Source organism: Homo sapiens, chromosome 13, assembly GCF_000001405.40.
Source record: "Homo sapiens chromosome 13, GRCh38.p14 Primary Assembly".
Taxonomy (NCBI): domain Eukaryota; kingdom Metazoa; phylum Chordata; class Mammalia; order Primates; family Hominidae; genus Homo; species Homo sapiens.
Window position 1 is genome coordinate 26,126,349 of NC_000013.11, and position 27,923 is coordinate 26,154,271.

Genomic DNA, 27,923 nt, shown 5'->3' on the forward strand with positions numbered 1-27,923 from the left:
TGGCAGTGGTGAGCAGACTGTTGAGTTTGGCAGATGTAAAACTTTGTAGCAGCCTCTGAAATTTCTAGCAGTCTTGGGATGCTTGCTGTGGGTCATCTGCCCCAGGGAGGCAGGGCAAGGGGGCTCCTGCCAGCAGGTTCCTGACTCTGAAAGCTCATTGCGACCTGAGAGCTGAAAATAACCTTCACTATCTTCCCCTCTAGCTCTTCCATTCTTTCATAAGTACATAATAACCTATATTAGATCTGTTCTGCTTGAACCTAACACTGTATTATCAACTACCCCATGAGGCAATATTATTACCCATGATACAGTATTGTCAATTACCCATGATGCAGTATTACCCATGATGCAGCATTATCAATATTTTGAACAAAGTATGATTTAAATTCCCCCCTGGCTCCATGTATGTCCATTAAAGCTATACTCTGTGGCTGACTTTGGCATTTTAATTTGCACAAGTTCTCCCTAGAGGCTTCTTTAAAGCTCCTATCACATTGTCCAGTCCTTAAAGGAGCCCTCACCTGCCCAAGTTCTTCATTGAGATTGAATGTTCTGGCCATGGCACAGATATTATTGATTTTATAATGCATATCTTCATCCTGCAAGAAATGAAAAAGTCTTTCACGCTGCCACTGAGCTCTCTATGTGACTGACATTTAGAAAGACTTCACAATGGAGAATGTAGAATACTTGGATTAAAGATAGAGTGTATCTTTAGTTTCTCACATATTAGCAGAATCAAATCAGGAGAGGCAGTGCCATGTAGAAATAAATTTTGATGTGTTGGTGATCTGAAGTTGGAAAACTTGGCTTGCAAAGCCCTGGCTCTGCCTCAGACAAGCTGTGGCCCTTAAGAAAGTTAATTAACATCTCTGTGCCTCAGCTACTACATCTATAAAATGGAAGCAACAATACAGATCTCACAGCTCTCTTGGGAAAGAGAATGCATTTGAAAGCACCTGCTTCATGTTGTGGCTGTTAAAATAATATTCCTCTTCAAATGTTGGCAAGCCAATGGTATATCGAGAGGATATTTTTAATATGTGACATTTAGCAATAATTTAATTTTTTAAAAAAATGTTTTTTTGAGACTGAGTCTCGCTGTGTTGCTCAGGTTGGAGTGCAGTGGTGCCATCTTGGCTCACTGAAACCTCTGCCTCTCAGGTTCAAGTGATCCTTGTGCCTCAGCCTCCCAAGTAGCCGGGATTACAGGAGTGCGCCACCACACCTGACTAATTTTTGTATTTTTACTAGAGACCAGGTTTCACCATGTTGCCCAAGCTGGTCTCCAACTCCTGGGCTCAAGCAATCCACCTGCCTCAGCCACCCAAAGTGCTGGGATTACAGCCATGAACCACGGCGCCTGGCCCAAAAATAATTTTTAAATATAACTAAATTTTGCAACCCCATGTTCACACTAGAAAATTAGTTCAGTCCCAACTTATTAAGTATTTATGACAGTCAATACCCAGTTGTCCCCTAAGAAATCTTTTCTTGAATGTGAAGTAATTCGGGAATGATTATGTGTCTGTCATTCTAGCCTAGATTTGTAAGTCTACTGGACTCTCCTCCCCTTCTTTATTGACTGTTTTCAATCTTAATGGATTAACTATCTCTCTACATTTACCGCTAAACCACTCTCTCTTAAACCTTTATCAGTTAAAACAAATATGTTAAAAAATGGCATCCTCAAGATGAACACAAAGAGGACAAGCAGAGCTGAGCCACGTTGATAGCAATGCTTGGCTTAGACTAGTTCCATCATGAGGACAGTTACATTGACTCTTAAAAGGAACACAAAAGCTATGCCTTAAGAAATAATTTTTTTAATTTTCTGATTTTAATACTCACTCAGTTTATAAACTGGGCCTGAATATATTTCACAATTTCCATAGTGACCAGCATAGGGATGAGGTTCTGGTACAAAATGATAGACCAGGCATGGTTGCTCACGCCTGTAATCCCAGCACTTTAGGAGGCTGAGATGGGTGGATCACCTGAGGTCAGGAGATCTTGACCAGCCTGGTCAACATGGTGAAACCCCGTCTCTACTAAAAATACAAAAATTAGCCGGGCATGGTAGCGAGCACCTGTAATCCCAGCTACTTGGAAGGCTGAGGCAGGAGAATCGCTTGAACCCGGGAGGCGGAGGTTGCAGCCAGCCAAGATCACAGCACTGTACTCCAGCCTGGGTGACAGAGTGAGATTCTGTCTCAAAAAAAAAAGATGATGAACACCAATATGTCAAACAAAATGACATGGGAGCTGGAACCTCTGGAAAAACATCAGAGACACCACCTCACAGCTTCCGGCAATGCCTTTATTCATCTTTGTTTGCACTATTGTATTTTTAAATTTTGGAATTTTCTCTATGAAAATTATGATTAAAAGTGGACACAAATATTAAATATTTTAAAATGTATATTAGTTCCACACCAGCCATGTAATAAGGAGTATGGGAAGCTTTGAGATTCAAGATCAAAGAAGATACCAACTTTGCCCTCAGGGAACTTAGCGTGAAGCTTGGGAAAGTCAGCTGGGTTAGGAAATACAGTATGACGAATTCCAGAGTGGCACTGAGCGCTGAGCACAGGGACAACAGCACAAAGTAGGGGGCCTAGAGGGGATCTCAGGAAAGGAGATGAACCAAGTTGAAACAAGAAGTTCGTTACATGCAGATGAGGGGAAGTGAATGAGCAGGGTATTCTAATTCTAGCTGGAAATAACAGTAGGTGTGAAGTCAAAGAGACCTGAAGCAGCGTTGGGGAAATGAAACATGTATATGTATGTATACATATAATGATTTTTTTTTTTGAGACAGAGTCTTGCTCTGTCACCCAGGCTGGAGTGCAGTGGTGCAATCTCAGCTCAGTGCAACCTCCGCCTCTGGGATTCAAGCGATTCTCCTGCCTCAGCCTCCTGAGTAGCTGGGACTACAGGTGCCCACCACCACGCCTGGCTAATTTTTTGTATTTTCAGTAGAGACAGGGTTTCGCCATGTTGGCCAGGCTGGTCTTGAATTCCTGACCTCAGGTGATCCACCAGCCTCGGCCTCCCAGAGTGCTGGAATTACAGGCGTGAGCCACCACGCCTGGCCTAAAACACAGTATATTTCTTGAAGCTCTGAGGATTCTAACTCTTTGGGATGACAAAACAAATGCAAAGCAAATACGAAGTGATGTGGTCCTGAGCTGGCCATAGTTCCGCAAGAGCATGCACCCAGTTCCTCAGTCACACGGGGCCCAGCTTTCTTTGACGAGTCTCTCACCACTCCATGCCTCCTTCTGCCCTCTACACAGCAGTCACACTGAGCTGCACTTGCCAAATTGCCTTTGGACATGGGCAATATTCTTGGCCTAGAGCTCTCCTATGAGGCTCCCCTTCATTCTTCCCTCCCAACTCCTTTTAATTTCCATCTGTTCTCATCCTTAAGGTTTCAGTTTGTGTGTTACTTCCTCATGGAAGCCTCAGTATTAGGTTGGAAGGGGCTCCAATGTGGACACGGGGCATCCTATACTTTCCCTTCTTCATTTACTGTCAGTATGCTATTACTTTGACTGTCTTCCTCCATACATTATAAATACCTCGGGGGCAGGAAACATCCTGTTTCTCACTGTACCCCAAGGTCTCAGCACAACGTCTTGCATTATATGCTAACTGTGGAAGGAAGAGCGAAAGCCAAATGCGTTTTAGAAAATGGAAAAAATGGGTAGATTTGCTGTCAATTTACTTTTCATTAATAATAAACATTCAGGAAATTCCTAGTCCAAAACAAGACTTAGTTGAGATTCTCTTCAGATGAAAAAACAAAAAACAACAACAAAAAAACAACACACACAAAAACAAGATGTCCTGAGGGGTGATCAAAAGAAAGATAGCAATAGAGAGAAATGGTACATGTGAGTGAGAAGTTGGGTAGAGCTTCTTTTTTTTTTTTGAGACGGAGTCTGGCTCTGTCGCCCAGGCTGGAGTGCAGTGGCGTGATCTCAGCTCACTGCAAGCTCCACCTCCCTGGTTCACACCATTCTCCTGCCTCAGCCTCCCGAGTAGCTGGGACTACAGGCGCCCGCCACCACGCCCGGCTAACTTTTTTTTTTTTTTTTTTTTTGTACTTTTAGTAGAGACGGGGTTTCACCGTGTTAGCCAGGATGGTCTGATCTCCTGACCTCAGGTGATCCACCCACCTCGGCCTCCCAAAGTGCTGAGATTACAGGCGTGAGCTGCCACGCCCGGCCAAAGTTGGGTAGAACTCCTAATGTCATTTTGGCAAAAAAAAAAAAAAAAAAAAAATTCTTAACCATAACTAGGGGCCATATATAGAGTAAAATCAATCAATGCAGATGTAATGTAAAACAAGCATTATTCATATGAAAACTTTTTTGATAAATGAAAGCAAAGAAACACACATTGTTTACAAAAAATCATTCATTTCGGACTATGTAAAATATACTCAACTTATGTAAACAAGGAAAACCTAAGTTAAAACAAAATTTCCCCCAGCCCCTGAAGACACAGGATAATTGTGCTTTAGGCAATAAATGTCTGGTAAGAAATAATTTTAAAAGTCAGAAGAAATATCTAAAACCAGAGATGAGATACGAACCTCTCTGAAAATTTCAGGGTAATAAACACAAATTAGCCTTCTAAATTTAAGAGATATATACTAAACTCCCTCACTTCATCAAAGCAGAAGGAAAAGTCGAGTAGCAGTACTATTTATCATCACAGATAATTTTAACTGCATGAGTTTCATTTCAAATCCAGTCTAAACAGCTACACCAATGATCCACTGAGTATTTCCAAGCTGTGTACCTCTAAACAAGACCTGATCAGGCCCAATTGGAACAGGGCTAAAAATGCAAAAATATCATTTATAAAGTACCAAAGAAATTTTCTCTTTTCACAATGTAAAAAAGCCCAGGTTTTACCTTACATATATTTCCTATTGTCAAGTTCAATTTTTTGAGCAAATGACAAAACAACAAATGTTTTTTCATAAAAAGCACCTATTCCTAAAAGAGTCTGGAAAAATGTTTTGTTTTAGTATCCATTTCTCACCATTCCAAACAAATGTCAATCAAAAATTTTAGAGAAAAAAACCATCTCTTACACCTAGGGTAACTATAAAATTTATTTGTCAGAGAAGATGACGTAGACAAATAGAAACCTGTGTGCCAATTTAGCAATCTATAGAAAGGATTACATGTGGTAATTCAGAGCTAGCTCAGTCGGCCATGTTTTCTTGGCCTCCACCCCTCCAGCACTGGATTGACTTGCTATGTAAAAGATGGGCTGGGAGTGGTGGCTCATGCCTGTAATCCTAGCACTTTAGGACATCGAGGAGGGCGGATCATCTGAGGTCAGGAGTTCGAGACCAGCCTGGCCAACATATGGTGAAACCCCGTCTCTACTAAAAATACAAAAATTAGCCGGGCGTGCTGGTGGAAGCCTGTAATCCCAGCTACTCGGGAAGGTGAGGCAGGAGAATTGGTTGAACCCAGGAGGTGGAGATTGCAGTGAGCCAAGATGGTGCCACTGCACTCCAGCCTGGGGGACAGAGAGAGACTCCATATAAAAAAAAAAAAAAAAAAAAAAAAAAGATCCTCCTAAGAAACTTGTAGTGGAAAATGTGGAAGTATGGAGCAAACTCCTCTATCATCATCAAACCTTTCAACACCTTGTTCTTCCCACTGATTTACTCCAAGGATCGTAGATATTTACAGGTAGGTATACTGACTAAGAAACTGCCATACACTTTCCAGCCATATTTAAGAATGCTTTTTTTTAATTACATAAATGCTTATTGCATTACAATAAATTACAATTCCATAGATGCTTCAGGGTATTTCAAAGCCAAGTACAATATGAACAAGTACAATGTTTTAAAATGTAATCAGTTGACAAAACAAATGTTGTCATATTCTATGTTCCATAAAAGAAAAAAAACTGTTTGTGAAGAGAAAGATAATACATTTTACCCCTTAGGCTCCAGGTTCCAGCGAAGCTATTGAAATGAAGATGAGGTGCTTCACAGTCTATTTTTCCAGATAGACTTAACAACTGGTTTTCTGGTAGCACTTCAGCTTGTATCTGGCAAAGCCTACAAAATAAAACCAAAGAGAGAAAAATAAAAGTAGAAGTTTAATGTACTATGTTTAAACTTCCATGTCTTTAGTAATTAATAAAAGATTATGATAGTATCTAAAAATGTATTGCACTCACTAGATAATAAAATAATGCACATCACACTTTAATATAAACCTTGTTAGAAGATGTTGCCATCCCAGCATTTTGCAAATAACTTTAATAAAAAGAAAAGAGGTAGAAACATTAAGTTTTCATCACCTGTACTGAAAGTATTGTTTTTGAAAGTGTAATCACCATGACCGTATAACATTTGATACATTTATGTATGTAGCTGATGATTTTGAACTATCGATCACACTTTGAGTAGCAAGGATTTAGAACAGTGGTTCCAAACTTTTTGCAGGCATCAGATTCACCAAAAGGTCTTGTTAAAATACAGATTCCTGGGATCCACCCACAGGGTTTTTTCTTTGGTGGTTCTGCGGTGGGGGGTGCCAGAATTTGCATTTCTAACAGTTCCCACAAGATGATGCTGTTGCTGAGCCAGAGATCAGACTTTGAAAACCACTGATCTAGAGAATGCCTTATTCCAATAAAATAAGATGATGTCAGCTTTACAGACAGAGAAGAGGCAGATTATCTTCAAGAGAATAAGAATAAAATTGTCCAAAGTCTTTTTCACAGAATACAAGATACAGGAAGACAGTGGATTTTTAAGTATTGAAATAAAAGACCTCTAGATTGATGGGTTTTTATGAAAATTTTTCTGTTATTCAAATTACCTTTCCCCTATAGGTAAAGTGTCATTTTTCTCTCACTGCTGTCAACATTTTCTGAAATTTATTTTCATAAGTTTGACTATTATATGTGCTGGTATGGATTTGTTTGGATTTATCTCTTTTGGTTGGCTCGGCTTGTTGAATCTACAGTTTGTGTTTTTTGGCAAATTGGGAAAGTTTTCAGCCAAATTTTTCTGGCCTATTCTCTCTCTTCTCCTTCCAGGACTCTGGTGACATGAAGGTTAGCTGTTTGGTTATGTTCCCAAAGGTCCTTGAAACCTGATCACGTTTGTCAGTCTGTTTCCTCTCTATTGTTCAAATTGGGTAATTTCTATTGTTTTGTCTTTCAGTCCACTGATTCTTTCTTCTGTCCCTTCCTGTTTGCTGTTAAGCCTATCCCTAGAGGTTTTTACATTTCAGTTTTGTATATTTAATTTCTAAAATTTCTAGCTGGATGTTTCTTGTACTTTCTATTTCTTTGCTGGGATTTTCTGTTTATTTTGCTGAGTTTTTATTTTTCCATTTGTTTCAGGCATGTTTGTAATTGCTCCCTGAAGAAATCATATGATGGATGCTTTAAAATCTCTCGGATAATTCTAAGATTTCTATTTTCTTGATGTTGACATCAATTGACTGTATTTTTTCATTCAGTTTAAGATCTTCCTGGTTTTTGATATATATGACGAAGATTTTCAATTGAAACCTAGATGTTTTGGTTATTAGGTTATGAGACTCTGGATATCATTTAAACTGTCTGTTTTATCTGGTTTCCTCTGACATACCTCCAACAGGGGAAAGGAGGTATTGCGTCATTACTGCAAGATGGGGGATAAAGTACCAGTTGCACACTTGACCTCTGTTGACAGCCAAGGAGGAGCTCCTTGTTACAGCTGGGAAAGGGTGAGAGTTCTGACCCTCCCGTAGACCTTTCCTGATACTTTCCTGGCATGAAGGAATTGGAATGCCTTCTGCCATCCACATCGTCTCCACTGACACTATGAAAAGAGGGAAGGACTTCATTACTGCCTGGCAGAAATGAAAGTCCTGGCTTCCTACCTGGCCTCCTCTGACACTACCCTTATAGGGGATTTGGGGTACTTCACTACTGTCTGGGAGTTGAGGCTCCCTACTCGGCCTTTGCCGGCATGGGTGAGCGTGAGGCCACATTTTTACTATGGTGTCAACATTTTGTCTTGTTAAGTTGCTCCTTTCCTGGTCTTTTGACTGGAGAGAACAGGCTTTGGTTGAGGTTTTTGTTTTTTGTTTTTTTTTGGTTTTTTGAGTTTTTTTGTCAGTGTCCATTGATCTTTCTGGGTTTCTGGCTTCTTCTGTCGAAGCCCCAGATGTATGAGATAAATGGAAAACTCAGGGAACTCACCACCATGTTGTTCTATGGGTTCCAAGAACACTAGCCCAGTCTGCTTTCTTCTCCCAAACTTTCAGAGTCTTCGTAGGTTTTTTCTTTATATAATGCCCAAAGTTGTTTGTTGTTCTTAGCAGGAAAAATGGGGAAAAGTATATCTACTCCATCTTCCCAGAAATCAAACTCTGTAATTGCACTTTAAAAAATCCGGAAGTTACCACCAAACTATTAAAATAATTACCATTGGGAATAAAGGTGAAATTTGGAAATGGAGAGGGTTAAATAGACTACATATGTTTCTGTATTATTTATATTATTTTTAAAAAGATGATGTATTACTTTAACAAGTTCTCATTTTTCCATTTTTAATTAAGTTAAAGTTAACAAAAAAAGATTGGTAAACAAACGTGAATAGACAAATGTAAAATCAGAGGCTTTTTTACTAAGAAAACTAATAAGGCAGGGGATGAATTATCTTAAAGAGCAATATGTTTTTCCCATTAACAAAAAGTTAATTGGAAAACCATCTCCTTGCATTTGTGATCATAAGTTTTTCTGAAATTCAAATGGTAGTTTTAAAAGCAGTGGTATATAAGATCTCTTACAGTTCATTTGCAACCACCCCTTGCAATCTAGCCATGACCTTGAGCCATGGCAGTAATTTTAACATCAGAGAACTAATAGCTTCAAAACAATATGTTTAAGGGTTCATTATCTTTATTATCTGAATTTTATAGCACATACTTTTTATAGCAATAATAGCAGTCACCTGGCTTCCCTTTATAATAATAATAATAATGTACCATTTTAATATCTGGTGAGGATAAATTACATCCACTCAATAGTGCTGAGATAATTTTTTTGTGAAAACACAGCTGGCATTTGACAAAACTTGACATTGTGGGCCCAGATGTAAAATTAGGATAAGAAACAGTGTCTTTATCTGCCATATCTTTAGATCTGTCTCTCTATCCAGATTAGCTGTTGCTATATAACACATCAATTGAGGTTGACTAGAAAAATAAAATAAATGATATTGAATTACTATCTCTTCATCAAATTATTTTCCTAATAATGGTAAATATGAAATGTGACTCCTAAGGTTTGGATGTTTTGTCCCCTCCAAATCTCACGTAGGACTGTGACCACCAATGTTGGTGGTAGGCCTAGGAGGTGGTGTTTGCATCATGGGGGTGGATCCCTCAAGAATGTCTTGGTGCTGTCCTTATAGTGATGAGTGAGTTTTCACTCTATAATTTCGTTGCAAGATCTGGTTGTTTAAAGGAGACTGGCACCTCCTCCCTCGCTCTCTTGCTTCCTCTCTCACCATGTGATATGCTGGCTCCCCTTGGCCTTCCACTGTGATCATAAGTTTCCAGGGGCCTTCACCAGAAGCAGCTGCTGGCACTATGTTTCATGTACAGTCTGGAGAATCATGAGCCAAATAAACCTCTTTTCTTTATAAATTACCTAGCCTCAGGTATTTCTTTACAGCAATGCAAACAGACTAATACAGTGACCTACATCAATAATTGTTCCTCAAAATTAAAAGGACTACAAACAACCACTTCACCAGGAGATGTTTGCAGTCTGATTGGACCAGCCTAAAATTCATCTTGCAGAGCAGCTCAGTAGAAAAGCATCTACCCTTATAGTCCTGTGTGATTACTCTTTAACCCCAAGAAGAGAAATTGCTGAGGATGAACAGATGTTATATAGATCAGAATAGTCAAATCTAAAATTATGTTGTTTTCTAAAATGGGTCCATTATAATTTCCAAAGGCCCAAGCTCTATGGCCTTTAGAATGAGAGTACATCTTCCAGAACAAGTGTGAATAGAGCAGACAAAACTACACTTGAGGCTTCTCTGCTTCCATTTAACCTCAACAGTTAGGGGATCAAGGCACTGAATTAACTAACATTTACCTTGCCAGATTTTATTCCATGTCAAATGACAACACATTTATGAAAATGAGTAATTTTGGAGGAAAAGCCACAAAGAATAACACAAATCGTTCACGGAAGTTTATTGGATCTTAAACTCTGACTTCTGTCTTTTGGCTGTGTCTTATTCACTGAAATATCAGGTTTAAAGTAAAACAATCTGTATTAATTTAACTGGTTGAGACATATACCCCCAAAAAATGACTAATATGTAATCTAATATCAAAAATATGGCCTCACTGGGGAGGCCAGTGATATGATAAAGGATCTCCAAAATCCCTTTCCTCTATAAAAAACACAATGAGAAAACTGGCAAAAGTCATCAGAATCAACTTTTTCAAAGCCGTGAAAATGAACCAAAAGCTTAAAGCAATCCAGGGAGCTTTTATTCAAGAAAAACGGATGAATCTTGGTAAGAGCTGTGAGCTTTGTGATGTTTTAACTTGCTCTATTTCCATCCCCTGCTTTCTAGCTCAGTGGTAACTTTGAAAAATAACAACTCACATTCTCATTACTGAGGAAGCTAAACAAAGCTACAGCTCCTTCGAAAATCCTCATTCCCAAAGATCCATTACTGGATCTGTTTGATGGTTCTCTAGAAGACTTCCCCCTGAAAGCTTGTTTTTATTTAACCTCACTAAAGCTTACCCAGTGCTCAAAGCCTCTTCCTGATGCAGGAGGGTGAAATTTGTTGAAAATGTCTACAGAAAAGTGCATTAATATTGCAGCTGCCTGAGGTGATGGATAGCAATTGGGGTAAATAATAGATTAACTAAAGAGCTTTTTTTTTAAAGAAAATTAGAATGAGCAGCAACAAAAACAAATCCTGAAGAGAAGAAAGGTGATTTACAGAATTGCCCATTATATTACTTAAAATGTTCACTTTTCTACAAAAAAAATTATGAGACATGAAAAGATACAAGTAAGTATCTTGCATCTTTCCCATTCACTGAGATAAAAGCAATCAATAGAAATTGTCTCAAAGTCTAGACTTTGGGCTTATTAGACAGAACTTTTTATCAGTTATGTTGAGTATCTTCAAAGAGCTAGAAGGAATTATGTTGAAAGAAATAATATATAAGAATATGTCTCACTAAATTGAGAATATCAATAAAGAGATAGAAATTATAAAAAAAAAAAAAACAAATAGAAACTCTGGGGTTGAAAAGCCCAATAACTGAAACGAGAAATTCACTAGAGAGGCTCAAGAGAAGATTTTAGCAGACAGGAGAAAGACTCAGCAAACTTGGAGATAGATCTACTGAAATGACCCAGTGTGTGAAACAGCATGCATAAAAAATTAAGAAAAACAAACAGTCTTAGAGACCTATGAGACAAAATCAAGCATACCAACATAAGCATAATGAAAATCCTAGAGGAAAGGAGGAAGACACATGAAGAAGAACATTTAAAGAAATAATGGCCAAAAGCTACCCCAATGTGATGGAAAGCATTAATCTACACACCCAAGAAGCTTAACAAAATAGGACTCCAAGTGGTATATACTCAAAGAGATGCACACCTAAACAAATTGTAATCAAACTACTGAAAGGCAAAGCCAAGAGAATCTTGAAAGCAAGAAAGAAGCTACTAATCACATCTAAGTTACACTAAAAAATATTAACAGCTAATTTCTCAGCAGAAACTTTGGCATAGAGAAGACACTAGGATGACATATCCAAAGTACTGGAAGGAAAAAATTGTCAACCAATAATTTTATATCGAGTAAAACTGTCCTTCAAAAATGAGGGAATAGTTATGACATTCCCAAATAAACAAAAACTGAGAGACGTTGTCACTAATAGACTTGCCCTACAATAAATACTAAAGGGGGTTATTCAGCCTGAAATGAAAGGTTACTAAACTGTATATGAATCCACATGAAGAAAATAAGAATATTCATTAAGACAACTCTATAGGTAAATGGAAAAGACAGTTATATATATTTTTTTCTTTGTAACTCCTTGTTTTCTCCTCTCTAATTTGAAAGTCAAATGCATAAAGCAATAATTATAAATCAGTGTTCATGGGCAGATGATGAATAAAGATGTAATTTGTGATAATAATAGCAAAAAGAGGGAAAAGGGGGTGAAGCTATTTTGGAGCAGGTTTTATATACTATGGAAATTAAAAGGGTATTAATTCAAATGAGATTGTTATAAATTAAGATTAAGATGCTAATAGTAATCCCCAAGCCAACCACTAAGAAAATAACTAAAAAATATGTAGTTAAAGAAATAACAAGGAATGAAAATGATACTAGAATATATCTATTTAGCATAAAAGAAGGCAGGTTTGTTTCTGGATTCTCCACTGTCTTCCATTGGCCTCATTTTTCTAATCTTGTGCCAAATTGTGCTTTTTAAACCACCGTAAATTAAATAGTATCACTTCACATCTGGTCAGACGGGTATCCTCAAATTATTCTTCTTCTTTGTAAGCGCCTTGATTATTCTTAGCTATTTGCTCTTCCAAATACAATTATATTAACCATGTTTTTTAACTTTCTGTATCTTATATGTTTCGACATCTTAAAATTCTTTGCTGTCCAGAGAGAGATTGTCTTTCCCAGGGCTAGCCAATGCTTACAGATAGCAAAGGACTCTGATGGGGGCTCACCTTTTATATGCAAACTGAACCCCCAACCACTCCATTTCTCCAACTCTCACACACCAAGCCAATATTTCCCTACCCTAAATCATCCCAGAGTCAGGGACCAGGCAACTAGAGACCACCGCCATAGCCCAGAGCTCACTGGAATTATGAGGACTGACCATTCCTAAGCTGTTTCCTCTGCCCTGCCTTGCCTTTTTTATGGAAACCCCAATAAATGCTCTGGCCTAGGCTTTTCCCCTCCTTCTTGCTTCTACCTCCTGACCAAACCTGATGTTTTCCCTGTGGCCCTGTGTGGCATGCCCTCTCTCTCAGAATATTGTTATAAATTCTTTTTTCAGTAGCATTGACCACCCTGTGTCACCACTCAGTCACCTCCATAAATTAAAATCCCACGGATACAAATAGGACAATACTTTACAGTCAGCTTGTCAATATCCACCAAAACCTGTTTAACACTTCGGTTGGAATTGCAATAAACCTCAAGATCAGTTTGAAGGAAATTGACATCTTTATAATATTGACTCTTCCTGTCCAAGAAAATGGTATATTTCTGCATATATTTAGTCCTTCCTTGCTGTCTTTTAATAAAGTTTTATTATATTCTTTATGAAGGACTTGCAAATATTTCCTTGCATATGTTTACTCTTAAGTCCTTTATAATTTTTGTTGCTATTTTAAGATGTATCTTACTTTTTTCTTTTCTTTTCATTTTTTCAGAGACTGGGTCTCACTGTGTCCCCCAGGGTGATCATAGCTCACTGTAATCTTGAACTCTTGGGCTGAAGCAATCCTTCCACCTCAGCCTCCTGAGTACCTGGGATTACAGGCATGAGCCTGTAATGAACCTGACCTTATTTCACTTTTTGACTGATACGTAACTATTGGCATATAAAATGTAACTGACTTTGCAAAATATGTCTACAAACTTGCTAATCTCTTTGTTAATACTTTCCAATTACTTATGAATATTTTGGGGATGGGGATTAATATAGACAATCTATAATTAATGAATATTAACTTTATACAAATGAGAATTTCATTTCATTTTCTATTGCTTATATGCTATTTTTTCCTTTAATCAGGTGTTAAAACAAAAACTTCAGCCAAAATTAATTGAAAGGAGTTTAATTGAGCAATGAACGATTCGTGAATTGGATGGCCTCCAGAATCACAGCAGACTCAGAGAGACTCCAGCGCAGCCATGTGGTGAAAGATTTATGAACAGCCAAAGGAAAGTGAGGTACAGAAAATGGAAGTGAGTGATCATCTCATTAGACACAGAAAAAGTGTTCAGTAAAATCCAACATCCCTTCATGATAAAAGCATCAACAAACTAGGAATCAAAGGAACATACCTCAAAATAATATGAACCATCTATGACAAACCCACAGCCAACATCGTACTCAATGGGCATTCCCTTTAGGAACTGGAACAGACAAGGATACCTAGTCTTACCACTCCTATTCAACATAGTACTGGAAGTCATAGCCAGACCAATCAGGCAAGACAAAGAAATAAAAGGCATACAAATAGGAAAAGAGGAAGTCAAATTATCTCTCATCATTGATGATATGATTCTATACCTAGAAAACCCTAAAGACTAACAAAAAGCTCCTAGACCTGATGAACGAATTTGATAAAGTTTCAGGACACAAAATCAGTGTATGAAAATCAACAGCATCTGCATAGAACAATAATGTTCAAACTGAGAGCTAAATCAAGAATGCAATCCCATTTACAATAGCTGTACACACACAAAAATACCTAGAAATACATCTAAGGAGGTGAAAGATCTCTACAAGGAGAACTAGAAAACACTGCTGAAAGAAATCACAGTTGACACAAACAAATGGGAAAATATTTCATGATCATGGATTGGAAGAATCAACATCATTGAAATGTCCATACTACCCAAATTGATCTACAGATTCAATGCTATTTCTATCAAAATGCCAACATCATTTTTCACGGAATTAGAAAAAACTATTCTAAAATTCATATGGAACCAAAGAAGAGCGTGAATAGCCGAAGCAATCCTAAGCAAAAAGAACAAAGTCAAGGCAGGTGGATCACAAGGTCAGGAGTTCAAGACCAGCCTGGCCAACAGTGATACCCCATCTCTACTAAAAATACAAAAATTAGCTGGGCGTGGTGGTGCATATCTTTAATCCTAGCTACTCAGGAGGCTGAGGCAGGAGAATTGCTTGAACCTGGGAGGTGGAGATTGCAGTGAGCAGAGGTTGTGCCACTGCACTCCAGCCTGGGCAACAGAGCAAGACTCTGTCAAAAAAAAAAAAAAAAAATGCAGCCAGAGGCAACAGATTACCCAATTGCAAACTGTACTACAAGGCTACAGTAACCAAAACAGTGTGGTACTGGTACAAAAGGAGACACATAGACCAATGGAACATAATACAGAACCCAGAAATAAAGCAGCATATCGACAACCAATTGATAGTTGACAAAGTCAACAAAAACAAACAATGGGGAAAGAACTCTCTATTCAGTAAGTGGTTTTGGGAAAACTGGTTAACCATATGCAGAAGAATAAAATTGGACTCCTACCTCTCACCATATACAAAAATTAATTGAAGGTAGATTAAAGACTTAAATGAAAAACCTGAAACTATAAAAATTCTAAAAGAAAACCTAGGACATACCTTTCTGGACATTGGCCTTGGAAAAGAATTTATGACCAAAGAATTTATTCTTTGGTCAAAAACGAAAATTGACAAATGGCACCTAATTAAACTAAAGAGCTTCTGCACAGCAAAAGAAACTATCAGAAGAGTACAGACAACCTTCATGATGGGATAAAATATTCACAAATTATGTATCTGACAAAGGACCAATATCCAGAATCTATAAGGAACTTAAATAAATCAACAAGAAAATAACCCAAATAACCCCATTAAAACGTGGGCTAAGAACATGAACAGACACTTCTCAAAAGAAGACAAAGAAGCAGTCACCAAACATATAAAAAATACTCAACATCACTAATGATCAGAGAAATACAAATCAAAACCACAATAAGATAAGATCTCACAACAGTCAGAATGGCTGTTATTAAAAAGTCAAAAAACAACAGATGTTGGTGAGCCTGCAGAGAAAAGGGAACACACTTATACACTGTTGGTGGGAATGCAAACTTGTTCAACCACTGTGGAAATATTTATGGAGATTTATCAAAGAACTAAAAATAAAACTACCATTCAACCCAGCAATTCCATTACTACCCCCAAAAACATGAATCATTCTACCAAAAAGACACATGTACTCTTATGTTCATCACAGCACTATTCACAATAGCAAAAACATGGAGTCAACCTAGGTGTCCATCAGTGGTGGACTGGATAAAGAAAATGTGGTACATATACACCATGGAATACTACGCAGCCATAAAAAGAATGAAATCATGTCCTTTGCAGCAATATAGATGCAGCTGGAGGCCATTATCCTAAGCAAATTAATGCAGAAACAGAAAACCTAATATCACATGTTCTATCTTATAAGTGAGAACTAAATCTTGGGTACACACAGACATAAGATGGGAACGATAGACATGGGGGACTCCAAGAGGAGGGAGGGATGGATGGGGGAAAGTGCTAAAAACATTCCAACTGGGTACTGTGTTCACTACCTGGGTGATGGGATCAATAGAACCCCAAGCCTCAGCATCATGCAATATAGACTCATCACAAACCTGCACATGTAGCCCCTGAATCTAAAAATAAAATTAAAATCACAATCAACACAGCTTATGTTACATGATAAGGGAATAAAAGAAAGAAGAAAACAATACACACACACACATACACACACAAACATATTCATAACAAAGTAAAGAGGAAATACTCATGATAGGTACAGTCCTCATTTCTGTAACTTGTCATGTGGTTGTAGCTGGTATTTATAACTACCCTCTTCCATAACCCATTCTGTATTTGCTTTGCCTTCAGCAAGCACTTCAACTAGTTGTGGTTCTCTTTCTGGTAGACTGACCCAAAGCTTTATTCTTAAAGGATCTGGGACATTATTAATTCTGCCTGAATTAGGGTTTTGTACTTTCTCACTGACCTTAATCATATGTCATGGTAATACTGAGAGATGCCTTAAGGGATCTCCTGTATTCTAGACTCTTCCTTATCTACACTGTGAAGGAATAGTCCAACTTCCCCTTAGTAGTCAGGATCAATCACCCCATCCAGCAAAGTAACTGTCTTATTTGCCTGTTGATTCAGAAGCATGAGGAGCCCAAAGTGGCCATATGGCAGCCTAAACTCCCAATTCAGTAGTGGAATCATTGTTATGCCTCCGGATGGAAGCATTCTTCTCTTCAAAACTAAGACCTCAGAGCATAAGGTTGTAGGAACAGGAAGAAAACTTTTGCTAGTGACTCACTAGGGGTAATAGCAAGTGGTACTAGTACTATCTTCATTTCCACCACTTGGTTCATGGACCTGTGACTCCTGGCTAGGGGAGAAACAGCACCATATATTGGATGCTGATGCAGAGAATGTACAGCCTCCTGAAGACCTTGTCCCAGCCCTGTAAGGTATTGCCACCAATCTGGAGCTGTGACTGAGTCTTCAAAAGCCTATTTTACAATTCTATCAAGCCAGGTCCTTCAGGGTGGTGGTGAACGTGGTAAGACTAGTGAATTCCATGAGCATGGGCCCATTGCCACACTTCATTCACTGTGAAGTAAGTTCCTTGGTTAGAATCAATGTTGTATGGAATACTATGACAGTGGATAAGGCATTCTGTGAGACCACAGATGGTAGTTTTGGCAGAAGCATTGTTTACAGAGAAGGCAAAGCCATGTCCAGAATGTCTATTCCAGTAAGAATAAAATGCTGCCCCTTCCATAATGGAAGCAGTCTAATGTAATCAACCTGCCACTAAGTAGATTGCAGATCACCATGAGGAATCCTATCATATCAGGGGGGCTCAGTGCTGGTCTCTGCTGCTGGCACATTGGGCACTCAGTGACGGCCAATGTTCCACTCTCCATGTCAACCATGGACAGTGGAAGTCCCTGTTGCTGAACCCATGCATAACCTCCATCCCTGCCACCATGGCCACTTTGTTTATGGGCTCAATGGGCAACAATAAGGGTGGCTGGGAAAAAAAAGGAAGACTGATATCTACGCAATGGGTCATCCTATCTACCTGATTATTAAAGTTCTCCTTTGCTGAGGTGACCCCTTGGTAAGCATTCACATGGAAATATCTTCATTTTTTTTTTTCACTATTTCAGAGAGGTCTACCCACATACCTCTTCTCCAAATTTCCCTGTCACCAATTTTCCAATTATATTTCTTCCTAGTCCCCAGCCATCCAGCCAAAACATTGGCTATAGTCCATGAGTCAGTATATAATTGCACATGTGACCATTTCTCCTTCCAAGCAATGTAAACAACCAGGTGCACTCCTTAAAGTTTTGCCTATTAGGATAAGTTCCAATGACCACTGTCCTTCAAGGATGCCCCAGAAAGGGGATGTAGTGCTGCAGCTGCACACATTCAGGTATTGTCTCCATATTGTGCAGAACTATCCGTAAACTGTCTTCTCTTCTTCTCTGTCAACTGATCATAGGGATCTCCCGTAAGGCCAGAAGTACAGAATGAGCAAGAAGGCAGTGTAGCAAGAGTGGGGACCATGGGCATTTGGGCCACTTCTTCATGTAATTTCTTTGTGCTTCAGGGCCTGCTTGGCCCAATTGTGTATATACCACTTCCATTTGGCAATGGAGTGCTATTGTGCATGCCCAATTTTATGGCTTGGTGGGTCCAGTCAGCATAATGTCTTCAACACCATCGATCAGTGTGATATTTAGTGGAAGGAAAAGATGATCAAGATTCCTGTGAACCAAATTGTGACACAGAGTTGATATACTCCTGAAGTAGAACAGTGAAACTGTTACTGCTGGCCTTGCTGGTTAAAAGTGAACTGCTTTGCTGGTCTTTGTCAACAGGAATGAAGGAAAAAGGATTTGCCAGATCAATAGCTGCATACCAGAAACTGAGGGAATGTTAATTTGCTCAAGTGATAAAATCACATCTGGTGCAACAGCTGAAAGTGGAGTCACCACCTAGTTAAGCTATGATAAGCCGCTGTTATTCTCCAAGATCTATTTGTCTTACGCTCAGGTGATCGGAATGTGGTGGGAATCACCACTTCTGCATCTTTCAAGTCCTTGATGGGTGATCTGGTTTGGCTTTGTGTCCCCACCCAAATCTCATGTTGAATTGCAATTCCCAGTGTTGGAGGAGGGGCCTAGTAGGAGGTGACTGAATCATGGGGAGGGGGGGGGACTTCCCCCTTACTGTTCTTGTGATAGAGTTCTCCTGAGATCTGCTTGTTTAAAAGTACATAGCACCTCCCCTTCCTTCTTCTCTCTTTGCCTCCTACTCCTGCTGTGTAAGATGTGTTGGCTTCCCCTTCACCTTCCACCATGATTGTAAGTTTCCTGAGGCCTCCCCAGAAGCAGAAACCTGTACAGCTTGCAGAAGCATGAGCTAATTAAAACTCTTTTCTTTATAGATTATCTAGTCTCAGGTATGTCTCTATACCAGTGTGAGAACAAACTAATACGATGGGGCACTGATCTCTGAAATCACTGCAGGATTGCAGGATTGCTTTTGGTTTACTATTTTCCTAGGTAGAATGGCAGTTCTAGTGGCTTCCACTTGGCCTTTCCCACCACAATGGACCTCACTCTACAGGTCAGGGAACCAATGTGAGGATTTTTCCAGCTGCTTGTGTATTCCAGAACTGGGGAAATAACCACAGGATGGGTTTGGAGACCCACTGGGCCAACTGTGAGACAGACCTAGACAAAAACTCCATTGATCACCTGACCTCTATAAACCCCTACTTTAACTGGTAGACCACAGTGACATTTTGGGTCATCTGGAATCAGTGTCCATTCAGAGATAGTGTCCAAAAGTCCCCAGGAAGGTCTCATTATTTCCTTTGCCCCAGTGCACAGTTATTCTGATTAAAAGGCTATAGATCCCTTTGGGGAAGGCTGGGAGAAGTGTTAACAGTATGAATTTTTGGCAGTATACTGGGTCCTTTCTCAAGGGGACTCAGCAACACAGGTTTGGAAGTCTGGAACAACACAGTCTGGAAGTCAGACTATTCTATTTGTTGCATTGACACTGCTGTTCATTATGGTAACCACATCTACCTTGCCTTTGGTGGTTGGGTGCTGCCACTTGGCCCTGGCTGCCATGGGATCAAATTATTCCCATTGCATTTAGGTTTCCAATTAAGTGGTCATAGTTCCCACTGTAAGGTCTGGCCTACAGAGAAGAGTGATCACAGAACGCTTTAAGGATGCCAGAGCTACTCACAATTTTATTTCTCACAGTCATGGTGAAAGGTATGTTTTCTGGACCACCCTAGGGTGAGTGAATAGATCTTAAATGACAGATACACTCTAGCATCAAATCACCTTACGCCTTAGAATCCTGCCTTCTATATTAAACCAAAGCAACTCTGACGCTTCTACCTCATTCTCTATGGACCACCTTTTCATCTATGTTTCAGCCAACCAACCCCAGTAGCTAGAACCCTTTATGACTCCCAAGATTCTGCAAAATTAAATGCACAATGTCTGCTTAATGGACCTGATATGGTTTGGCTCTGTGCCCACACCCAAATCTCATGTCGAATTGTAATTCCCAGTGTTGGAGGAGAGGCTTGATGGTAGGTGACTGAATCATGGGGGCAGACATCCCCCTTGCTGTTCTCATGATAGAGCTCTCATGAGATCTGGTTGTTTGAAATGCACCATGATTGTAAATTTCCTAAGGTCTTACCAGCCATGATTCTTGTACAGCCTGCAAAACTGTGAGCTAATTAAACCTCTTTTCTTCATAAATAACCCAGTCTCAGATATGTCTTTACACCAATGTGAGAATGGACTAATACAGGGCCCATATCAATCAATTCAGCCTGATTCAACTTTATGTTTCTCCCATTATTACCCTACACTCTTAATACCCATTCCCACACATGTTCCCCAGCTTTCTGCCTGTGCATATTAGAAAATTCAAGTATTTCTTTTGAAGTGTAGTACATGCCCTCATTGGTACACACTGTACTTTACCTTTAGGGTCCCGATGGGACTTAAGTCTGGTTATAAGTCTAAAAACAAAGAGAGGTGATGGGGAAGATTCATGAGGAGAATGAGCATTGTCTTGCAAGGCAACTCTCTCAGAGGAGGCTATTAAAGTTCCTTCAGGAATGTTAGGTTAATATTTTCAGATTCAGGTGGGAAGGCAGATACCACTGTGTGTGGAGGAGCTGATACTAATGGAGGAAGAGAGGCTTATACCACTGGGTGTGAAGAGGCTGCTTCTATGAGGTAGGGGTGGAGGGTAGACAGGCTGCTTTCACTGACAAAGAAGACCCATCAAAATTTAGGAGTCAATGTCCTCAGCTTCATCAGGGTCTTCCCACACATCCTCATCCCAACTTTTAGGATCTCATTCTTTCCCAATCCATGTTCTCATTTAAGAGTAGAACTCCCTGTGAAGCTGGGAGTTTAATTTGTGTTATTCTTCAGCCAATTGTAGGATAAGATTCTGGGTCTTATTTTCAGCAATCTCAGGTCTGTGGCTACAGGACACAAGAGTCTCCTTCAGGACACACAAGAAAGCTTTCAGGTCATTTATGTGGCACTTTAGCTGGAAATTCAAATCCCTGAGTTATTTCCCTTCTTTCTCCACTTTGTCCCGTGACATTAGGACAACATGTCAACCTCATTACACTCATCAGTTTGACAAAAATGTTTAAGAGTGATATATAGTGTATTAGTCCATTTTCACACTGCTATAAAGAACTGCCTGAGACTGGGTAATTTATAAAGGAAAGAAGTTTAATTGACTCACAGTTCCACCTGGCTGGGGAGGCCTCAGGAAACTTACAACCATGACATAAGGCGAAGGAGAAGCAAGCACCTTCTTCACAAGGGGGCAGGAAAGAGAATGAGCAAGAGAGCACGGAAGCACCATACTTTAAAACCATCAGCTCTCCTGAGAACTCACTCACTATCATGAGAAGAGCATGGGGGAAACTGCCCCCATGATCCAATCACCTCCTACCAGGTCCCTTCTTTGACACATGGGGATTACAATTTGAGATGAGATTTGGGTGGGGACACAGATGCAAACCATGCCACACAGGTACCCAGATCCTTGCTTCTTATAAGTGATTGATTACAATGATCTAATTGTGATAATTTGCATATTTCTATGGCCAGATCACACCATGAACTATCAGTGCTCTCTTTCCTACTGGGAAGAAAGTCATTCGCATTTTTAAATCTAATCATATTATGGAACACATTCCAGAAACCCCAGAATCAGTCAAAATAACCCATTCTCAAAATTCTGTTCCTGTAGAACCACTCTTGGTACCAAAATCTGTATTAGTCTGTGTTCTCCAGAGAAATAGAAACAATAGTATAAATCTCTTTATATATATATATATATATATATATATATATATATATATGAGGGAGATATATATGTGTAAATATATAAAATATATATAATAAATATATATTTTATATATAGTAAGGAATTGGCCCATGTGGTTACAGAAGCTGGCAAATCCCCAGATCTGCAGGGTGAGTTGACAAGCTGGAAACTCAGGAAAGCTAATGATGTAATTCCAGTCCAAAGGCCAGCAGATGCAGGGAAAACCAATGCTTCTGTTACAGTTCAAAAGCAAGAAAAAGCCAATGTCCCAGTTTGAAGGCCAGCATGCAGGAGGAATTCTCTCTTGCTCAGGGAATGGCCAGCTTTTTTTATCTATTCAGGCCTGTAATTGATTGGATAAAATCCACGCACATTATGGAGTATGGTCTTCTTTATTCAGTCTACCTATTTAAATGTTAATCTCATCCAAAAATAGCCTCACAGAAATGCCCAGAATAATGTATGACCAAATATCTGAGTACCCTGTGGCCCACTCAAGTTGACATGCAAAATTAATCATCACATTTACCTTTTGTGTTTTTTAACTATTTTGTCTGCCATATGTGGTTTCTGTTATGGGGGAAAAATTCATTACATCAAAAGTTCAATCTGAATAATTCAATTTGTAATACAAGACGTACTAGGTTTAAGAAACAATAGAGGCAGACGGCCAGGCATGGTGGCTCACGCCTGTAATCCCAACATTTTGGGAGGCCGAGGCAGGCAGATCACGAGGTCAGGAGATTGAGACCATCCTGGCTAACACAGTGAAACCCCATCTCTACTAAAAATACAAAAAATTAGCTGAGCGTGGTGGCAGGCGCCTGTAGTCCCAGCTACTTGGGAGGCTCAGGCAGGAGAATAGCGTGAACCCGGGAGGCGGAGCTTGCAGTGAGCCGAAATTGTGCCACTGCACTCCAGCCTGGGCAACAGGGTGAGACTCCGTCTAAAAAAAAAAAAGAAAGAAAAAAAGAATAGAGGCAGCCAACTTAATTGTAAAGTCCTCTTTGGCTATAATTGATTTTAGTTTCATTTTGCCCTTACATGACTCCCTTGACTGAGATGTGGCCTATGGGAGGGAGTAGAGCAAAGTGGTGAAGTGTGTGGACTCTGGAGCCAGCAGGCCTTGGTTGACATCCTCACTAATGCAACCTCATCAGCCATTAGCTTGTCTGTGCCTCAATTTAAATGAGCATAAACACACATACACAGTGTATATATAATGTGTGTGTGTATATATATATATATATATATATACACACACACAGTGTATATATAATGTGTATATATATATACACAGTGTATATATAATGTGTATATATATATACACAGTGTATATATAATGTGTATATATATATACACAGTGTATATATAATGTGTATATATATATACACAGTGTATATATAATGTGTATATATATATATATACATATACATACACACACACAGAGAGAGAGAGAGTATAGTGTGTCTGGTACATAGTAAGTATTATACACTTGAAGTGTTAGCATATTACATGTTATTTGTGTTTAACCATATTTTGTTAAACGCACAATGAGCAATTCCGGATTTTGCCCCAACTTAACCTAAAGCTTCTGATCAAGTTTTAATGATTCTTTCATATTATAAACCGATCGAAAGGACAACACTGATTTTAGTGATGTCATGTCTTTACAGGATGGGTTGAAGCTCGCGAATAACGATAGCTAGCGATTTTACAAAATGATCATTAGGATTGTGAGTGTGGAGGAAGGAGACTCTGCAAGAGTGACCTAAGCCATAGCAGATAGGGTCAGAGCAAACAGAAAACATGATTAAATACCTCCCTGTACCTGGGACAAGGCTAAAGGTGAAATGAAGATGCAGCACAATTTGTGTGTGCATCCCTTTCAGCCGCTTAAGACTTTGACCTACAGTTGGATTAGAACCCCAAAGATACTATCATAGTTCTTATGACACCTAGTAAGTCCTGTTAGTCTCTCAGATATATAAGCCAGAGTATATAACTTAAAATTTAAAACCTCAAAACTTGAATTCACTCTTCACAACAACTATAGACTTAAAGGAATTACACCAGCTTTAATCAACTGCTTGAAAAAAAATCAACAATAATACTTTTATGTACAAGGCTATACTTTTGAGAACATTTCATTATTTAACAGTAAACTTACTTAATCTTCTATAACCTCTTCAATGCCTGAAATCGTAAGAAAAATCATCAAAGGTAAGAGAGTTATATATTTTCCTGTTGGGGACATACCTGGAATTTACTGCAAAACAATCAGAGTTACACTATTAATTTTATTATCAATTCTTGTTATATTTTGCTCAAAATCACAGTATTATTACACTCAAAGTCACACTACTAGTGACATGGCTCAGGGCATGAAGACAATAGACATGTTAAATAAAAAGGGGAAGGAAAGTCTTAGCATATTAAAACTATCCCTTGAGTGTGACACTATCACGTGATAGAAAAGTCACCAGTGCAACTACTTAACAACACCTCAGTCATACGTTGCCTTCCTTGTAGGATACTTTTATTACATCTTGAAAGGATATTTCAAAATCTAAATCTTAATCTGAAATAGCATCTTTTCAAAACAGTTAAATCCAGATGGTCTGATATCTTTTTTTTTTTTATGAGACAGAATTTCATTCCGTTGCCCAGGCTGGAGTGCAGTGGTGCTATCTCAGCTCACTGGAACCTCCACCTCCCAGGTTCAAGCGGTTCTCCTGCCTCAGCTTCCTGAGTAGCTGGGATTACAGGTGCATGCCACCACGCCCAGCTAATTTTTGTATTTTCAGTAGAGACAGGGTTTTTCCATGTTGGCCAGGCTGGTCTCAAACTCCTGACCTCAGGTGATCCACCTGCCTCAGCCTCCCAAAGTGCTGGGATTATAGGCGCGAGCCACCGCGCCCGGCCCAGATGGTTTGATATCCTGATATCTTAACTGAACCTTTTCTCCTTTTTTTCTTTTTTTCTTTTTTTTTTTTTGGCAGAGGAGACATTTTTTGGAGACCCAAGGGAATAATGTGTCCTAGGTAAGAATTAGTTGTGGCTAGTGCTCTAGGGCTACCTACTGTTTAGAATATGAGAAATAAAGTTCCCAATAGTTATTATAACAATGTTAAAGGGAATCTGAGGACTAGAAGAAAAAAGGGGGGAAATTTTAGGATCGCTTACGCGCTCAATGAACTGCCTTTGAAACATCTCTTGTATGTCTCCCTCTTCTCCATTTCTCTGGGGTGCAGCTCCAAGCTGGTCCCTCTACCCGTGGACCCCTTCCTGTCTTTTCCTCACGCAAGGCACCAGAGCTGTTCATGTCAGTGAGCTGCTCACGACTGCCACTGCCTTCTCACTGTCTCCAGGATGAAGTCCAACCTTCTGCGGGTAACACACCAACCTCTTTTATAACCTGGCCTCGGCTAACACCTTGAGCTGCTTTTCCACTCTATCCTATGTTACCCAAACAAAATTTTTACTGTTTCTGGAACACTTCATATACTAGAGAAAAATTTAATATTTTATATTTGTAACTTATTTATTTTTGAATATGTAACACATTCAACACGTTTCACAATTCAAAACATATGAAAGGATTCAGTGTGAAAGTTCTACGTTTCCCACTGTCCCCTTGGTTCCTAGTTCTCTCCAAAAAGACGCCCAATGTTTCCAGTTTCCACGCGTTTGCTCACGCTGCGCGCTGTGCCCAGAGGTCTTCCTTGGTCCATCGGATTACGTTTCTCCTTCTGTAATGCTTGGCTTAAATGTCACCTCTTTTCAGTAGCTTTTTCTAAACCACCCACCCCCAAGCCAGAAGCAGGCTGTGTTCCTTCAGCACTTTATAAATACTCTGTCTTATAAAATCTTGTATGTTACACTCCGAGCTTTCCAGGGGCAGGCAGCATGTCTAATCATTCATCCTTAAATGTTTAATTCCATGAACAGATTTTGACACATGCTATGTGTCCTCTACACGTGTTTACTGAATCGAATTCTCCCGTTTAAGGTCAATTCAACAAGTTTATCAAATTCTTATCTCAAAGCTTAGTAGCTTCTAAGACGTTTCTATTCTCAATGATTTTAAACTTCCTGGGAGAAACAAAACTAGTTATAATATGTTACATAGATCATTGTTACAGACATTAGAGAAGGGAGAAGTCAGCATGGACTATAGCATTTGGTGAAGTTTGGAGGAAGATGGTTTAGGGCTTTTAAAAGATTAAAGATGTGGCCGGGCGCGGTGGCTCACACCTGTAATCCCAGCACTTTGGGAGGCCGAGGCGGGCGGATCATGAGGTCAGGAGTTCGAGACCAGCCTGACCAACATGGCAAAACCCTGTCTCTATAAAAAATACAAAAATGCGCCGGGTGTGGTGGCACTCGCCTGTAGTCCCGGCTACTTACGAGGCTGAGGCAGGAGAATTGCTTGAACCCAGGAGGTGGAGGTTGCAGTGAGCTAAGCTCTTTCCACTGCACTCCAGCCCAGGCAACAGAGCAAGACTCTGTCTCAAGAAAAGAAAAAAAAAAGAAAAGACTAAAGATGTAAGATATTTTATTTTATTTTATTTTATTTTATGTATTTTTTTCCAAGATGGAGTCTTGCTCTGTCGCCCAGGCTGGAGTGCAGTGGAGTAATCTCAGCTCACTATAACCTCCCTTCTCCGGGTTTAAGTGATTTTCCTGCCTCAGCCTCCAGAGTAGCTGAGATTACAGGCATGCACCACCACGTCCGGCTAATTTTTGTATTTTTAGTAGAGACGGGGTTTCACCATGTTGGCTAGGCTGGTCTTGAACTCTTGACCCCGTGATCCACCCACCTCGGCCTCCCAAAGTTCTGGGATTCAGGCATGAGCCACCGCACCCAGTCAAGATATTTTAAAAGAATGGGTAGGATATAGATAGATTAATACCTTCTAGGTTTAGGATATAGGAAGAAAATTGAATAAATGGGAGGAGACGTATCTGGTTAAATTGCAGGGTTCATAACAGAAATAAGGTTGAACAAACAGGAATAAACCAGATTATGGAAAGCCTTGAATTTAACTCGTTTTGAAAAGATGCTATTTAAACTACTATTCGGACTTCCTTTAAATTTTTTATTTCAAAATATAGTAAAATTATCCTATTTTGGAGGTGCCATAAAATGACCGAAATTGCTCCAATAATATGTCATTAAAGATCTCGATCAGGATGAACTGCGGGCCAGAGCATCTATTGCTCATCCGCGTATTTTTCAGCCCCAAAATGGAATTTCAGTGTCTCACTGAATGACTTAAATACTGTAAGAAAAGAATTCTCTTCTTAGAGTATTTAAATTTATTATCTACATTGAATTTAATTTGAAACTCTAATTTCAGCTAAATGAAATTCTTACGAGTGTTTCCTTAAACTCTTTAAGAATCCTAATCTAATAACGTGTTCAAAAACATTACCTGCAATATAGCAATGAACAAGAAGAAAGCACTGGCAGCTTTGGTAAACTGCAGGTACAAAAATCGAGGGAGAAATGACCACACACTGTACTTGGCTGTGCTGTAGGTGAAAAGAAGTACAATTTTCCATTGATATTCGGAACTCTAAAACAACTAGTAGAAAACAGGGAAAGTTAGTTATAAATCAAAAGTGGAT

General features: G+C 39.3%; 1 protein-coding gene and 1 pseudogene across 5 annotated transcripts in view; both read right to left on the bottom strand.

The window, feature by feature from the left end:
* ATP8A2P3 (ATPase phospholipid transporting 8A2 pseudogene 3) overlaps positions 1-27,827 on the bottom strand; it is a 39,767-nt pseudogene extending 11,940 nt beyond the window's left edge.
* RNF6 (ring finger protein 6) overlaps positions 5,767-27,923 on the bottom strand; it is a 90,971-nt gene continuing 68,814 nt past the window's right edge. For all 5 annotated transcript variants that reach the window (XM_047430500.1, NM_183045.1, XM_047430498.1 and 2 more), the window contains exon 6: positions 5,767-6,103. In XM_047430500.1, coding sequence (XP_047286456.1) covers positions 6,083-6,103 — 21 coding nt within the window. In that variant the 3' untranslated portion in view covers positions 5,767-6,082. The remainder of the gene's footprint in view (positions 6,104-27,923) is intronic.